This window comes from Homo sapiens, chromosome 3 (assembly GCF_000001405.40).
Source record: "Homo sapiens chromosome 3, GRCh38.p14 Primary Assembly".
Taxonomy (NCBI): Eukaryota; Metazoa; Chordata; class Mammalia; order Primates; family Hominidae; genus Homo; species Homo sapiens.
Genome location: NC_000003.12, coordinates 143,661,277 through 143,678,391, shown reverse-complemented (window position 1 = coordinate 143,678,391; position 17,115 = coordinate 143,661,277). Strand labels below are relative to the sequence as shown.

The following is a 17,115-nucleotide window of genomic DNA, read 5'->3' as shown; positions in this document are numbered from 1 at the left end:
TATCTATAGATTAAGGATATAGAGACTCTTCTTAACAAAGAATGGAAAACCAGAATCCATAAATATAGATATATTTGAAGATATAAAAAGAAAATACATTTAAGTGGAAAAGACACCATAAACAGTCAATAGATAGGCAACACACTGGGGAAAAATTATTAAAATACGAAGGACAGAATATTACTATTTTTAATACACAAAGAACACTTTAAAATGACAATCTGGAAGTAAGTAACGGAAACACTGACAAAGACTATGAAGAGGCAGGCTGGGCGCGGTGGCTCATGCCTGTAATCCCAGCACTTTGGGAGGCTGAGGCGGGTGGATCACGAGGTCAGGAGATCCAGACCATCCTGGCTAACACGGTGAAACCCCGTCTCTACTAAAAATACAAAACATTAGCTGGGCATGGTGGCAGGCGCCTGTAGTCCCAGCTACTTGGGAAGCTGAGGCATGAGAATGACACGAACCAGGGGGGCAGAGCTTGCAGTGAGCCGAGATTGTGCCACTGCACTCCAGCCTGGGCGACAGAGCGAGACTCTGTCTCAAAAAAAAAAAAAAAAAAAAAGACTCTGAAGAGGCAATTCATAGACACACAAATCCACTTGTTCCACAAATGTAAAAAGTTATTCAAACTTCCAAGAAGTCATGGAAATGTAAATTAAAGTAACAGCATATCATTTTACCCCTAACAGTTTGGCAACAATTATAATACCAAGTAACAGTCATTGCTGGCAGGGTTGCAGGAAAGAGTGGACTTTTACACATTTCTAGAGAACATTTAAATCATTAACAGACTTCTGGAAAGTAATTTGGCAAAGCTATTATACCTTAAAATATACAGCCCCTTTTGACCCAGCAATCTGACTCCTGGGAGGCTATCTCACACAAGTAAAACCACCAGTTCTTAAGGATATATGAACAAGAATGTGTACTGCAACATTTTTAAGATGATAGATTGTAGGACATCTACACAATATTGTATGTCTATTAAAAAAATAAATTAGTGCCCTTCCAGTTAACTTGAGAGTTTTCCAGCAGGCATTGTTGACTATTAAAGTAAATGCAAAAATGTATATAAAAATATGATTCACATTTTTAAAAGCAGTGGTGACCCCTATAAATTTATGTGTAGATAACCCCCATGCATATCTGTGTGTAACTTTTATATTGAAAAGTGGGACTTGTGAGGTATAGGCACAGAAAGTGCTTTTTTTTCTTCCAGTCTCCCCTTAAAATATTGTGTGGGACTACTACTTTCCGACTTGCTGGATAAAAATATTTGGTTTGTGAGTTGTAATCACAGACTCAACTCAGCAATGAACATGTGCAGTCCCATGTAATAATGGCAAAGCGAGAGTCAAACAGTAATCCACTGTGTCCCCAAACTCCATGTGTGTCATCTTAAGCTGTCTGATGGTCTAGGGAAGTCTCTTTTTACAGGCTTGAGATGTGCAAACAACCCTCCCCATGTGGGAGTTCAGATTTACAACTCACAAGTAGTAAAAGAACTCCCTTCACAGATCTTAACCTCTAGTCTAGGATCTTTCACATTCTTAAATGGCAGAGAGGTTCAATGGAGTCATGTAACTGGTTTTCAGACACGTGCTGGGTTTTTTTGTTTTGTTTTGTTTGTTTTTGTTTGTTTGTTTGTTTGAGAAGGAGTCTCACTCTGTCCCCAGGCTGGAGTGCAGTGGCGTGATCTCGGCTCACTGCAACTTCCGCCTCCTGGGTTCAAGCGATTCTCCTGCCTCAGCCTCCCGAGTAGCTGTAACTACAGACACACGCCGCCACGCCCAGCTAATTTTTGTATTTTTGGTAGGGACAGGGTTTCACCATGTTGAGCAGGATGGTGTCGCTCTCCTGACCTCATGATCCGCCCTCCTCAGCCTCCCAAATTACTGGGATTACAGGCATGAGCCACCACACCCAGCTGCTTTTAAGATTGTACATCTCACTACATAACATGTGTTTTTGTTTGTTTTGTTTGTTTGTTTGTTTTTGCTTTGTTTCTCATTTTAAACATCTAATTTAACATTGTTACAAGTGTGTGTGTAATTGTTATAATGAGAATTTTAGTATAAAGAGAAATTGGTAGGACATATACTAGGTCAGGTGTCCCCAGCCTCCCGGGCCACAGACGGGTACAGGTCTGTGGCTTGTTAGGAACCAAGCTGCACAGCAGGAGGTGAGTGGCAGGCCAGCCAGCATAACCACCTGGGCTTTACCTCCTGTCAGATCAGCGGCAGCATTAGATTGTCATAGAAGTGTGAACCCTATTGTGAACTGCGCATGCGAGGGATCTAGGTTGTGTGCTCCTCATGAGAATCTAATGCCTGATGAGCTGAGGTGGAAGTTTCATTCCGAAACCATCCCCACCTCGCCCTCCTCCCCATCCCCCACGAGAAACCTGTCCCTGGTGCCAAAAACATTGAGGACCTCTGTACTGCGTTGTAAAATTGGGTTACTTGGGGAGAGAGGAGATATGAGTTTAAGAGAGGAAGAGGTGGAAAAAAGAGAGACATACCAAAAAGGAAAAGAAAAAAGACTATTAAAGCAAACGACTAAACAAAGAGTATGCATATTATGATCATATTTATGGATTTATGTGGAAACACATCTGTACACTTGAAAACTTCAAAATTTCATAAAAATGAGAAAATAACCAATCATTTTTATATGATATTAGTAAATCACTCTGAAGTATAATGAGAAAATCTTAAAGGAAAATCTTCAAACTCAGTATGATATTGTGTCTGCCGTGAAGTGAAAAAAGAAATGAAAATCAATGACTTCTCATATTACATGTAAGTCACACATCTCTGCTTGCTCCAGTAGCTAAAGTGTGCTAAGAATCCCAAGTGCTTGATGAAGCCCTGAGCCCTCGTTGTTGGCTTTCATAAGGAGACTACTACTGGCTCATGTTAATTGAATTTAGAAAATTTACTGTGGATTATCCTGTCTGGTGCCTAAATTAAATGCATGGATGATAATTCATTTACTGAAATTAGAAGCCAGGAGGAATATAGATACAAAGTCAAAGTCTCTGTTTAGCTAATGTTTTGCCCAACCAGCCTGCACTTGACAAGTGTCATAGCACTATGCTATTTTTATTATTGGGAGTTAGGAGACCTCAGGTCTAGTTCAATCCCTGTTACTATGCACAAGGCATATTTCTGATGTGCAGGGAAAATTCAAGGTGGCCACTTAAGCTTTCTAGGCCTTATTTGCCTAATATATTCCTAGAGGAATTAGATGATTTTTAAGATTACTTCTTGCTCTATATTAGTAGGTTCTCCAATGTGAGTGAACGTAAAACTCACTTGGAGAGTCTGAAAGTACTAATTAGGGGGTTCTGCCTCCTGAAATTCTGATTCCGTAGGTCCAGGGTCAAGTCCAACACCCCATTTCTAACAAGTGTCTCGTTGATGCTAGTAGCACTAGTCCACAGCCCCGATGAATATAAAAACTGAATGAAATATTTGCTTTTCTGAGTAAATGTCAAGAATTATTGAGATGAAGGAGGCTTGGAACTGATATTTTTAATCTGAAATAGATATCATTTATTGCACTGGTAGAACCTGTATGTAATTTCAAGGGTGCACATCTTACCTTTTATTATAATTATAATAAACTTCCCTTATCATATAGTTCCTCCTCAGAGAATGTGAACTGCAGGAGTCCTAGTTCCCAGTAGAAAGTGCTGTTAGAAAACCTCTGAGATTTCTACCTCTGGGAGTAGTATCCTCTTGAGATGCCACCAGCTCTGATGTCTCTTGTTTGTCTCCCTTGCCCAAATAAGCTTTCCTAGCATGTACTACCTAAAATCACGGCTAGGTGTCGCTCTAATTCTGGGGCGCACCGGTTTCAAGGGGAAGTGTGAACCAGGGCGCTGGCACTGCTCGTGTGTTTATGGGTGAAAGCATCTAAGAGAGGCCCTGTGAAATTGCCTGCATAAAAGGATCACAGTTAGGGATGTCTCATAAACTAATCCCAAGAGGAGCCTTCCACTAAAAATAAAATAAGCACGTAATAAGGGTAGAAAAATTTCCTAAAAATGAGGTTGGGATTGGTGGTCAGAGCGTCCTGGATATCAAAAGTGTCAGTTCATTAAGGCAAGATTAGTGTCATGGGTGAATGGAGCATCACAGTTTAATGCTTTAACTTATTGGAACCTCACTTTCCACTTCCTTAAAATAGAGACTATCAAAACAAAACAAAACAGAAAGTACCTTCCATTTCTTCAAAGAATTTTTGTCAGATCAAATGAAGAGCTGTATGGAAAATTATGTGTAAATTGCTAAGTGTTTTAAAACACATTTTTATTAGCAGTGAATTCTTCTCAGGCACTTTATTGGATTTTTAGATAACACTATCATGATATTCCTATTTATTCCTGAACATAAAATTTCCAGATACCATTTTCTTCCTACATGACCATAATTAAAGAATTTGTTTTCTTATGTTTTCATTACTTGTCCATCCACTTCCACGGTAAATCTCAAATGTAAAGAGACTAAAAAGAAAAAATTAATAAAATTATATTTATCCTCATGTGGAATTTCTGCTTTTTGTAATAGCTACTATACACTTAAATATTTAAAATTTAGAATATTTTCTCCATGTTTCCAGATGCTGCCCCCCTAGACATATTGAACATTAGGAAATGTTGTCAGAAAGTCTTTTCTACTAGTCTCTGTTTTGGATTATCTAGATCATAGTTCCTCTGATAGAATAATCAATATTATTAATATTATTAATTAACAATATAATTAATAAGTATGGTCTTGCTGGCCTTTTATGCCCTGCCCTCCCACCCTTCCCTACTCCATCCTACCCCAACCATAAATTATAAAGCCAAATACAGATTTGTATTTGGATTGGTATTTCACTGATATTTCAAACCAGTTCCACTCCTTCTCTAATTAAATGTGCATTTTCTTTGTGATTTGACTGCCAGTCTACACCCTAAGTCACCATCTATACCTTATTGCAGGTAATTCGTGTCGACAATCATCACTAACCATAGCCATCCTCTCACTGAGTGCATGGACACAGAATATGCCTTCTCGTCCAGCTTCTCATCCTGCAGGGCTCCTATGGGTGGGGTTTTCCCTGTATGAATTCTCCAACTTGGCAAAATGATGATTACTGTCCCCTCGCCATAATCAGATAGAAGCACTGGAGAAATGTATAGCATTGAGTTTTCATCTTTTCTATTATTAACACTTTGAGGAAATAAGAGTCTTCCAAAATGAAAGGCATTTCTATACACTGTACTTGCAAGTCATTATTTTCATTTAACATTTAAGTAGTAGGAATAAAAGCCACCTTTATCCTTTAAAGTTTGCTGTAGTGTAACTATTGCAGAGGCACATGAACTATCTTACCTTTGATGGTGTTGATAATCTGAAGCCCCTTTCTATTTGGGGTTACTATGGTTACGGCTGCTCAGGTGATGTGTGAGCTGCACTGCTGTTTTGATAAAAATAGGTATTAACTACCAGTCATAGTGCTTTTCATTTCATAGCAGTTCTTGTAGAAGCACAGCATATTTTTTAAAGGTTGGGGGGAGAAATGCCTTTTCAAAGACTTATGTGGGAACATCTGCATAAATAATGGTGATTGGTCATGTGTATAAAAATATTTTTAATTAAATTCATTTTAATTAAACAGGGCATTTTGCTGAATCCTTCTCTGTTATTTGCACCAAGCTTAGCCTTGAGGAAGATGGCTGATTAACAGACCCAAGAACCTATAATTAAAAGCAGGACTGTTATTTTTGGAGAAAAGCCTCTTCAGTAAGGATGACTTAATTGGGCTGTCTCTCATATTTTTCATTCATCGTGGAACTCCAGGTTTAAATATTTAATTTTTCTAACACCGGAGAAAGATTACTCACATTGGCATAATCAGAAAAGTTTTTATTTTTCAGTTTTGTTTTCCTTCAGTTTCTCTGATCATGCTCTCTAATCACTGTTGTGTTTCAATATTTAATTGTGTTCTTCATTGATTTCTTTTGTTTGGATCACATCTTTTTAAAATCATGGATATTGTTCTTTTTCACCTTCTGGCCCTCTCTGCCTCTGCATTTAGTTTTAGCCTATATTACACTTGTGGTTTCTCATCACTGGTGTTATCAATATTCTACACAAGAATTCAAGAGAAAACGGAATAATTTTCTATTCACAGACAAAAAAAAAATTTAAGATGTAATTGACAAAGTAGTTCCTTCAGTACCAGGGCTGGCTTAGAGAACAAAGACAACATTCATTTAATATCGGCTAAGCAGGAAGAGATCAAGATGGTTTTATGCCATATTATAAACAGCAAAAAATGCTCTCATATAGTATAAAGTTTGTGTTCCTGAATTATTTGCTCTGTCATCTATAAAGAAAGTTGGATGACTCTACTTTTAGCATCTAATATTTGGTAGAGAAAGATTGCATTGGTATTGCTGTGAGAGAACAGAAGCAGTAAGAGATATTCATATGTTTTCATTGAATTCCAAGGGGGGAGAAATTACACCTCAGAGGGAGTCAGAGGATGTTAGACCAGAGTACCTCCCACTGAAGCCAGCAGGCTTCTAGAGAGCACAGACGTATCAGCCATTTTTACTATGCAATCTGCATTTCAAACCTGCACACAGTGTCATTTAACAGTACTTGGCTGTATTTTCTGTGTCTTTACAATTCAGTGTTAAGCACAATGGAATAGCATCAGTTTAAAACCCTCTACATAAACCTATGTCTGTAAAACTCCATCATATAAACCTCAATTCTATTCTTGAGCAAATTTACTCAGAAATAAAAATAACAGCTTTGATTTATATTGTTTGACTCTTTCAAAGAGCTCAAAGAGCTTCTACAGACAGTATTTCAGTTATTTTCACATTGTGTTCTTGGGTAGAGAAGACCCATTTCTTAGGTGAAATAATTGAGGTGCAGCAAATTTTAAGATTATCTCAAGGTTTCACGGCAAGTTAATGAAATATAGGTATGGAAGCTAGGAATTCTGTTTCCTTAGATTTCTAGACTGTGTTTTTGCTAGATACTAAACACTAACATCTATCTGAAAAAAAAACTGACTTTTGCTAACTTGCAGCCAGCTTAAAATTATTGAAGCAATGGCTGTACTTGAATCAATATGTAGAAGCAACCCAAAGCCACGGATTGGCAGCAAATTAAAAGCTCCATCTGAATACGTCTACTAGAGAGTATGTTATCTAGTGATAGCAGCCATTAACTAAATGTGTACAAATATATCATCTAATTTGATCATCACCACAGCCGATCAATTATCTCCATTCCAAGCAACAGAGGTTCTAAAAACTTAAGTGGTACATTTACAAGGCTCGTAAGTGGCAGAGATGGGAGACAAATCAGGTCCAATATTCTTTGTCCTACACCATTGCTGTTTCTCAAAATAGAACAGTGATGTGCCAATCAAGCTTTGGAAGAAAATGAAATCCAAGAGTCAAGAGTCAAGTTCCCACTTTATAATTGATTTTATTTAACAAACATTTGTTCATTGCCTGCTATGTCATAGGCACTGTAGGAGCTACTGAGGGAAGGGATAATAAACCAGACACAGGTTCTGCTCTCAGCATGCTCCCAGTCTAAAGAGGGAGGTAGATACGACAACTGGCAGTAGTCTAAAAGACAAGACAGAGGTAATCCAGGCAGCTTTGTAAACACAGAGTACCACCTGGTGGGGAGAAGGCTCTGAGAAAGCTTAAGGTCTCCTGTACCTCAAGCCAATATTTTGCCCAGATGAAGAAGATAACAGCTCAGCTGGAAGAACCATGAGCCATGTTTCTCTCCAGGGCCACAGACGACGTCACCTGCAGAACATTAGCAAGGTCTCCCTGGGCTCAGATACTCTTTGGAGTGTCCTGTCTTGGTAACCCTTAGAGTCACAGTCAAAACAAGGGCATATGCATTTGAAATTATGACAGCCCTCCCCTCATTCATGCAGAGAAGTGTTAAACTCATGATCACTTTTCTTGACATTGTTCTGCCCATTGCACATGCTGCTCTGTAACCCTGCAAAGCACACCCTTGATCCCAGCACTGCATCAGGGCTCCATCCGCATGATTTGGAAAATATACACATTCCACATCTGGAGACTACAGTTTGGAGTTTGGAGTGAGACCCATAGAAATTTAGATGTGGAAGGCCCTTAAAGACAATCTTGCTCAACATCCTCATTTTTAGATGAAGACCCTAAGACTCAGAAAGACAAAGTAAATGGACACAGAATAGGAACTGTTCTTTCCAAATACAGAAGTTCAAGGGAGTAATTTGTGAGAAAGGAAGAGAGATAGAGAAGAGTTTTTAACATTTCTCTGCTTGATAATATCTACTTTTTCTCATTTGAAGTTATTTTTAAGTGTTAAAGGAAAACAAGTAGAAACTGTCATTCCATTTTATACTGGACTGACCCACTAATAGTTTTGATGGCATGAACAATAACAATACAGTAACCACCACTGATGAAGCACTTACAATATGCCAAACATTTTGCATAAATAACTCCAATTAATTATTCTCCAAAAACCTGAAGAAGGGATTATTTTATCCCCATTTTACCAAGGAAGCTTACTTGAAGCTTAATGAGGTTAAGTAGCCTGCTCAAGATCACCAAGTTCATTTGCATAACAGCTGGGGTCTGATCAGAACACAGGTTGGTTTGACATCACAGTCAAGTTTCCAACCACTGTTTTCTACTTTAGTACAGAGTTGTAAATAGCAAGGTCTTGGCACAAAGGTCTTGCTTCAGAAGTTGGAAGCTAGTTATGGAAAGTCACCTCCAGAACAGAATTGGACACAATAATAGATAACAACCAACTATATAAATGCTTCAGGATGTTGAAAGTGGATCAAGCAAGGCTCCAGGTGTTCTGAAGATGAAATTTCGAGAACATACTGAAAACCGTTTGAAGCAGTTCAACAGCTCCATGGACAGCTGGGAAACAGCTGTGGTTGACAGACCTCTCTGGCTCACTGCTTTGGGGAACAGAATGTCTCCGTTTAAATGAAAGCAGTTTATTCTCAGTAATGCTCAAAGACGTATAGGATGGAAGTTTTGAAAGTCAGTGTCCAGCCCACACATTCCATTTATGTGTTAAAGAAGACATTGTACATTGAGACAAATTGGATTCAGTAATTCTTAGAGAGTATTTCCTTGCTGTCTGGTTCTTTTTAGGACTCAGCCAAGTTGATGAGGTCAAAACCATGGAAGAGTGAGGCAACTAGGGAGTAAAATTTAAGAAGGCACTCACTCTCTGGATTATGTAAATGCAGGATCAGCAGTTGTACAACCCTAAAAGGGAGTGCTTTCTTAAGAGAAAGGTACCTAGGATGGGAGAGCAGCCACTAGTCTCAGACTGGGATTTGGTCCTCTTGTTCCATAAAGACTCACAGGTGCCTCTTGGGCAGGATTTCTTGAAAAGCGGCCAAGAAAGGACAAGAATTGACCTTTTGTCTGGGTGCTACAGACAAGGAATTGTGTTGTTCAATTTATTATTTTGCACTGAAATGGAGAAAGCTTTTTGAAACAAGTTCTGTCAGGTCAGTGAGTGGGCAAAGAAGTTCCTGATTACGAGGGCAGAATACAGGAGAAAAGGAGCTGTTCTGATCCTCGAGGAGCTAACCACATGGTGGGTGACCTTCAGAGATTCATTCACTTGTTAATTCATTTATTCAGTAAACAGAATTAATTGCCTATTGCTTTCCAGAAACTATCAAAAGCATTGACAAATGCGCAGATGAACAAACTAATACCAGTGATAATCAACTTTTTAGCCAAAAAGTTCTATTCAAAAAAGGAAGTGAAAGTGTTTATAGGCTATTTATTGGGAGGTGGTTTTTTAAAATGCTACTTTCTTTTTTTATTTTTACTTTTTTTGTTATTATACTTTAAGTTCCAGTACATGTGCACAACGTGCAGGATTGTTAAATATGTATACATGCGCCATGTTGGTGTGCTGCACCCATTAACTCGTCATTTACATTAGGTATATCTCCTAATGCTATCCCTCCCCCCTCCCCCCACCCCACGACAGGCCCCAGGGTGTGATGTTCCCCACCCTGTGTCCAAGTGTTCTCATTGTTTAGTTCCCACCTACGAGTGAGAGCATGCGGTGTTTGGTTTTCTGTCCTTGTGATAGTTTGCTGAGAATGATGGTTTCCAGCTTCATCCATGTCCCTACAAAGGACATGAACTCATCCTTTTTTATGGCTCCATAGAATTCCATGGTGTATATGTGCCACATTTCCTTAATCTAGTCTATCATTGATGGACATTTGGGTTGGTTCCAAGTCTGCGATTGTGAATAGTGCCACAATAAACATACGTGTGCATGTGTCTTTATGGCAGCATGATTTATAATCCTTTGGGTATATACCCAGTAATGGGATTGCTGGGTCAAATGGTATTTCTGGTTCTAGATCCTTGAGGAATCGCTACATTGTCTTCCACAATGGTTGAACTAGTTTACACTCCCACCAACAGTGTAAGAGTGTTCCTATTTCTCCACATCCTCTCCGGCATCTGTTGTTTGCTGACTTTTTAATGATCGCCATAATAACTGGCATGAGATGTTCTCTCATTGTGGTTTTGATTTACATTTCTCTGATGGCCAGTGATGATGAACATTTTTTCATGTGTCTTTTGGCTGCATAAATGTCTTCTTTTGAGAAGTGTCTGTTCATATCATTCACCCACTTTTTCATGGGGTTGTTTGATTTTTTTCTTGTAAATTTGTTTAAGTTCTTTGTAGATTCTGGATATTAGCCCTTTGTCAGATGGGTAGATTGCAAAAATTTTCTCCCATTCTGTAGGTTGCCTGCTCACTCTGATGGTAGTTTCTTTTGCTGTGCAAAAGCTCTTTAGTTTAATTAGATCCCATTTGTCAATTTTGGCTTTTGTTGCCATTGCTTTTGGTGTTTTAGACATGAAGTCCTTGCCCATGCCTATGTCCTGAATGGTATTGCCTAGGTTTTCTTCGAGGGTTTTTATGGTTTTAAGTCTAACATTTAAGTCTTTAATCCATCTTGAATTAATTTTTGTATAAGGTGTAAGGAAGGGATCCAGTTTCAGCTTTCTACATATGGCTAGCCAGTTTTCCCAGCACCTTTTATTAAATAGGGAATCCTTTCCCCATTTCTTTTTTGGTCAGGTTTGTCAAAGATCAGATGGTTGTAGATGTGTGGTATTATTTCTGAGGGCTCTGTTCTGTTCCATTGGTCTATATCTCTGTTTTGGTACCAGTACCATGCTGTTTTAGTTACTGTAGCCTTGCAGTATAGTTTGAAGTCAGGTAGCATGATGCCTCCAGCTTTGTTCTTTTGGCTTAGGATTGTCTTGGCAATGCAGGCTCTTTTTTGGTTCCATATGAACTTTAAAGTAGTTTTTTCCAATTCTGTGAAGAAAGTCATTGGTAGCTTGATGGGGATGGCATTGAATCTGTAAATTACCTTGGGCAGTATGGCCATTTTCATGATATTGATGATTCCTATTCGTGAGCATGGAATGTTCTTCCATTTGTTTGTGTCCTCTTTTATTTTGTTGAGCAGTGTTTTGTATTTCTCCTTGAAGAGGTCCTTCACATCCCTTGTAAGTTGGATTCCTAGGTATTTTATTGTCTTTGAAGCAGTTGTGAATGGGAGTTCACTCATGCTTTGGCTCTCTGTCTGTTACTGGTGTATAAGAATGCTTGTGATTTTTGCACATTGATTTTGTATCCTGAGACTTTGCTGAAGTTGCTTATCAGCTTAAGGAGATTTTATGCTGAGACTATGGGGTTTTCTAAATATACAATCATGTCATCTGCAAACAGGGACAATTTGATTTCCTCTTTTCCTAATTGAATACCCTTTATTTCTTTCTCCTGTCTGATTGCCTTTGCCAGAACGTCCAACACTATGTTGAATAGGAGTGGTGAGAGAGGGCATCCCTGTCTTGTGTCAGTTTTCAGAGGGAATGCTTCCAGTTTTTGCCGATTCAGTATGATATTGGCTGTGGGTTTGTCATACATAGCTCTTATTATTTTGAGATATGTCCCATCAATACCTAGTTTATTGAGAGTTTTTAGCATGAAGGGCTGTTGAATTTTTTCAAAGGCTTTTTCTGCATCTATTGAGATAATCATGTGGTTTTTGTCTTTGGTTCTGTTTATATGATGGATTACATTTATTGCTTTGCATATGTTGGACCAGCCTTGCATCCCAGGGATGAAGCTGACTTGATCGTGGTGGATAAGCTTTTTGATGTGCTGCTGGATTCAGTTTGACAGTATTTCATTGAGGATTTTTGCATCAATGTTCATCAGGGATATTGGTCTAAAAGTCTCTTTTTTTGTAGTCGTGTCTCTGCCAAGCTTCAGTATCAGGATGATGCTGGCCTCATAAAATGAGTTAGGAAGGATTCCGTCTTTTTCTATTGATTGCAATAGTTTCAGAAGGAATGGTGCCAGCTCCTCTTTGTACCTCTGGTAGAATTCGTCTGTGAATCCATCTGGTCCCGGACTTTTTTGGTTGGTAGGCTATTAATTATTGCCTCAATTTTAGAGCCTGTTATTGGTCTATTCATGGATTCAACTTCTTCCTGGTTTAGTCTTGAGAGAGTGTATGTGTCCAGGAATTTATCCATTTCTTCTAAATTTTCTAGTTTATTTGCACAGAAGTATTTATAGTATTGTCTGATGGTAGTTTGTATTTCTGTGGGATTGGTGGTGATATCCCCTTTATCATTTTTTATTGTGTCTATTTGATTCTTCTCTTTTCTTCTTTATTAGTCTTGCTAGTGATCTATCAATTTTGTTGATCTTTTCAAAAAAAACTAGCTCCTGGATTCATTGATTTTTTGAAGGGTTTTTTGTGTCTCTATCTCCTTCAGTTCTGCTCTGATTTTATTTATTGCCTTCTGCTAGCTTTTGAGTATGCTTGCTCTTGCTTCTCTAGTTCTTTTAATTGTGATGTTAGGGTGTCAATTTTAGATCTTTCCTGCTTTCTCTTGTGGGCATTTAGTGCTATAAATTTCCTTCTACACACTGCTTTAAATGTGTCCCAGAGATTCTGGTATGTTGTGTCTTTGTTCTCATTCATTTCAAAGAACATCTTTATTTCTGCCTTCATTTCTTTATTTACCCCATAGTCATTCAGGAGCAGATTGTTTAGTTTCCATGTAGTTGAGCGGTTTTGAGTGAGTTTCTTAATCCTGAGTTCTAATTTGATTGCACTATGGTCTAAGAAACAGTTTGTTATAATTTCTGTTCTTTTACATTTGCTGAGGAGTGCTTTACTTCCACCTATGTGGTCAATTTTGGAATAAGTGTGATGTGGTGCTGAGAAGAATGTATATTCTGTTGATTTGGGGTGGAGAGTTCTGTAGATGTCTATTAGGTCCACTTGGTGCAGAGCTGAGTTCAAGTCCTGGATATCCTTGTTAACTTTCTGTCTTGTTCATCTGTCTAATGTTAACAGTGGGGTATTAAAGTCTCCCATTATTATTGTGTGGGAGTCTAAGTCTCTTTGTATGTCTCTAAGGACTTGCTTTATGAAGCTGGGTGCCCCTGTATTGGGTGCATATATGTTTAGGATAGTTAGCTCTTCTTCTTGAATTGATCCCTTTACAATTACATAATGGCCTTCTTTGTCTCTTTTGATCTTTGTTGGTTTAAAGTCTGTTTTATCAGAGACTAGGATTGCAACCCCTGCTTTGTTTTGTTTTGTTTTCCATTTGCTTGGTAGATCTTCCTCCATCCCTTTATTTTGAGCCTATGTGTGTCTCTGCACATGAGATGGGTCTCCTGAATACAGCACACTGATGGGTCTTGACTCTTTATCCAATTTGCCAGTCTGTGTCTTTTAATTGGAGCATTTAGCCCATTTACATTTCAGGTTAATATTGTTATGTGTGAATTTGGTCCTGTCAGTATGATGTTAGCTGGTTATTTTGCCCATTAGTTGATGCAGTTTCTTCCTAGCATCGATGGTCTTTACAATTTGGCATGTTTTTGCAGTGGCTGGTACCGGTTGTTCCTTTCCATGTTTACTGCTTCCTTTAGGAGTTTTGCAAGGCAGGCTTGGTGGTGACAAAACCTCTCAGCATTTGCTTGTCTGGAAAGGATTTTATTTCTCCTTCACTTATGAAGCTTGGTGTGGCTGGATATGAGATTCTGGGTTGAAAATTCTTTTCTTTAAGAATGTTGAATATTGGCCCCCACTCTATTCTGGCTTGTAGAGTTTCTGCAGAGAGATCCGCTGTTAGTCTGTTGGGATTCCCTTTGTGGGCAACCTGACCTTTCTCTCTGGCTGCCCTTAACATTTTTTCCTTCATTTCAACCTTGGTGAATCTGACAATTACGTGTCTCGGGGTTGGTCTTCTCAAGGAGTATCTTTGTGGCGTTCTCTGTATTTCCTGAATTTGAATGTTGGCCTGCCTTGCTAGACTGGGGAAGTTCTCCTGGATAATATCCTGCAGAGTGTTTTCCAAGTTGGTTCCATTCTCCCCATCACTTTCAGGTACACCAATCAAACGTAGATTTAGTCTTTTCACATAATCCCATATGAGTTTCCCGTATTTCTTGGAGGCTTTGTTCATTTCTTTTTACTCTTTTTTCTCTAAACTTCTCTTCTCACTTCATGTCATTAATTTGATCTTCCATCACTGATACCCTTTCTTCCACTTGATGGAATCGGCTACTGAAACTTGTGCATGCGTCACGTAGTTCTTGGGCCATGGTTTGCAGCTCCACCAGGTCATTTAAGGTCTTCTCTACACTGGTTATTCTAGTTAGCCATTCATCTAATCTTTTTTCAAGGTTTTTAACTTCTTCGTGATGGGTTCAAACGTCCACCTTTAGCTCAGAGAAATTTGTTATTACCAATCTTCTGAAGCCTACTTCTATCAACTCGTCGAATTCGTTCTCCATCCAGCTTTGTTCCGTTGTTGGCGAGAAGCTGCGATTCTTTGGAGGAGAAGAGGTGCTCTGATTTTAAGAAATTTCAGCTTTTCTGCTCTTGTTTCTCCCCATCTTTGTGGTTTTATCTATGTTTGGTCTTTGATGATGGGGACCTACAGATAGGGTTTTTGTGTGGATGTCCTTTTTGTTGGTGTTGATGCTATTCCTTTCTGTTTGCTAGTTTTCCTTCTAACAGTCAGGACCCTCAGCTGCACGTCTGTTGGAGTTTGCTGGAGGTCCACTGCAGACCCTGTTTGCCTGGGTATCACCAGAGGAGGCTGCAGAACAGCAAATATTGCCGAACAGCCAAAGTTGCTACCTGATCCTTCCTCTGGAAGCTTCGTCTCAGAGGGGCAGCTGGCTGTATGAGGTGTCAGTCAGCCCCTACTGGGAGGTGTCTCCCAGTTAGGCTACTTGGGGGTCAGGGACCCACTTGAGGAGGCAGTCTTTCAGTTCTCAGATCTCAAACTCTGTGCTGGGAGAACCACTGTCAGGCAGGGACGTTTAAGTCTGCAGAAGTTTCTGCTCACTTTTGTTCAGCTATGCCCTGCCCCCAGAGGTGGAGTCTACAGAGGCATGCAGGCCTCCTTCAGCTGTGGTGGGCTTCACCCAGTTCGAGCTTCCCAGCTGCTTTGTTTACCTAGTCAAGCCTCAGCAATGGCAGACACCCCTCCCCCAGCCTGGCTGCTACCTCGCAATTTCATCTCGGACTGCTGTGCTAGCAGTGAGCAAGGCTCCGTGGGCGTAGGACCCACCGAGACAGGCATAGGATATAATCTCCTGGAGTACCGTTTGCTAAGACCTTTGGAAAAGCACAGTATTAGAGCACGAGTGTCCTGAGTTTCCAGGTACCCTGTCTCATGGCTTCCCTTGGGTAGGAAAGGGAATTCCCTGACCCCTTGCACTTCTCGGGTGAGGTGATGCCCCGCCCTGCTTCAGCTCACACTCTGTGGGCTGCGCCCACTGTCCAACAAGTCCCAGTGAGATGAACCCAATACCTCAGTTGGAAATGCAGAAATCACCTGTCTTCTGCATCGCTCATGCTGGGAGCTGTAGACTGGAGCCATTCCTATTCGGCCATCTTGAAACGATCTCAAAATGCTACTTTCATATACGTATTTTATCTGCAACTGAACTTCTTCATTCGTATATTATTTTTCAGTCCAGAAGGGATTACTGTAGGGCTAAAATTTCAGAAATGACAGCGCTAGTTTATGCTGCAGTATCTAGTACAATAGAACATTTCTGAAACTGGTTTCTTTTTCTCTCCTTGCCTGACCTTGTAAGACACTGAACTACAAAATGTGGCTTGCCTCTTAATATTATATTCTCTAAAGCTGGAGATTTTTCAATTGTAACTAAGATAAATCACACCACTAAAAAATATAAACATAAAGTTTGTGGTCAGTGATGGTTCCACTCCTTGAGATTGTAATTCAAGAACAAGAGCAGCAGAGTTGCTGAGGCTAGTTAGTGGGTAGGGAATCTGTAAGACATACACAGCAGGTGCTCGATAAGTAGTTTTTCAAGTAGAACAACTCCAACAGGAGTTGTCTTGGCAATGGTTGGATATGGGAGTCTATAGCTGAGAAAGAGGAGGCCGGACACAGTGGCTTACACCTGTAATCCCAGCATTTTGGGAGGCTGAGGTGGGTGGATCATTTGAGGTCAGGAGTTCGAGACCAGCCTGGCCAACATAAGGAAACCCTGTCTCTACTAAAAATAGAGGAAGGGATGGGCTAGAGATTGACATCACCAGATGTTGATGAAATTACTCAAGTCAAGTTTACAGAGTGAGAAGGGGACTGGAGATGTTTTCCTGGGCAACACCTCTATTAAAGGGATGGGTTTACAAAGGAGAGTGAAGAAAATCTGGAGGTGTTGAAGGAAAATCACAAGGGGCTAGTCTCCTCAAAACAAAGGAGGGGAGCACTTGGAGAGACAGGAAGGGTTCACAGTGCCAGGTGCCACAGTGGGGTCGAGCAGTGTGGAAACCCAGGGAGAAATCCTGAGGAAGGCTGTGTCCTCACAGACAGCATCCGTGGCCTTGGGGAAGAGACTCTGAGTTCCATGCTTTATGTTCTTGTTAAGTTTTACCAGTTTCATAAGTAGGTTGCTGTCTTTTCTAATTCTAAAAATAGTGCAC

At 39.8% G+C, this 17,115-nt stretch overlaps 1 protein-coding gene across 5 annotated transcripts in view, besides 1 other annotated feature; it reads left to right on the top strand.

Annotated features, from left to right (window-relative positions):
• The window catches only part of SLC9A9 (solute carrier family 9 member A9), a 583,247-nt gene that overhangs the window by 170,077 nt on the left and 396,055 nt on the right, over positions 1 to 17,115 (top strand). The window lies entirely within an intron of this gene.
• Positions 8,925 to 8,974: an enhancer, noted in NCBI's record as "active region_20657". NCBI's record gives its function as "activates an Ori minimal core promoter by ATAC-STARR-seq in GM12878 lymphoblastoid cells {active_cell/tissue: GM12878}" and the evidence as "EXISTENCE:reporter gene assay evidence [ECO:0000049][PMID:35858748]".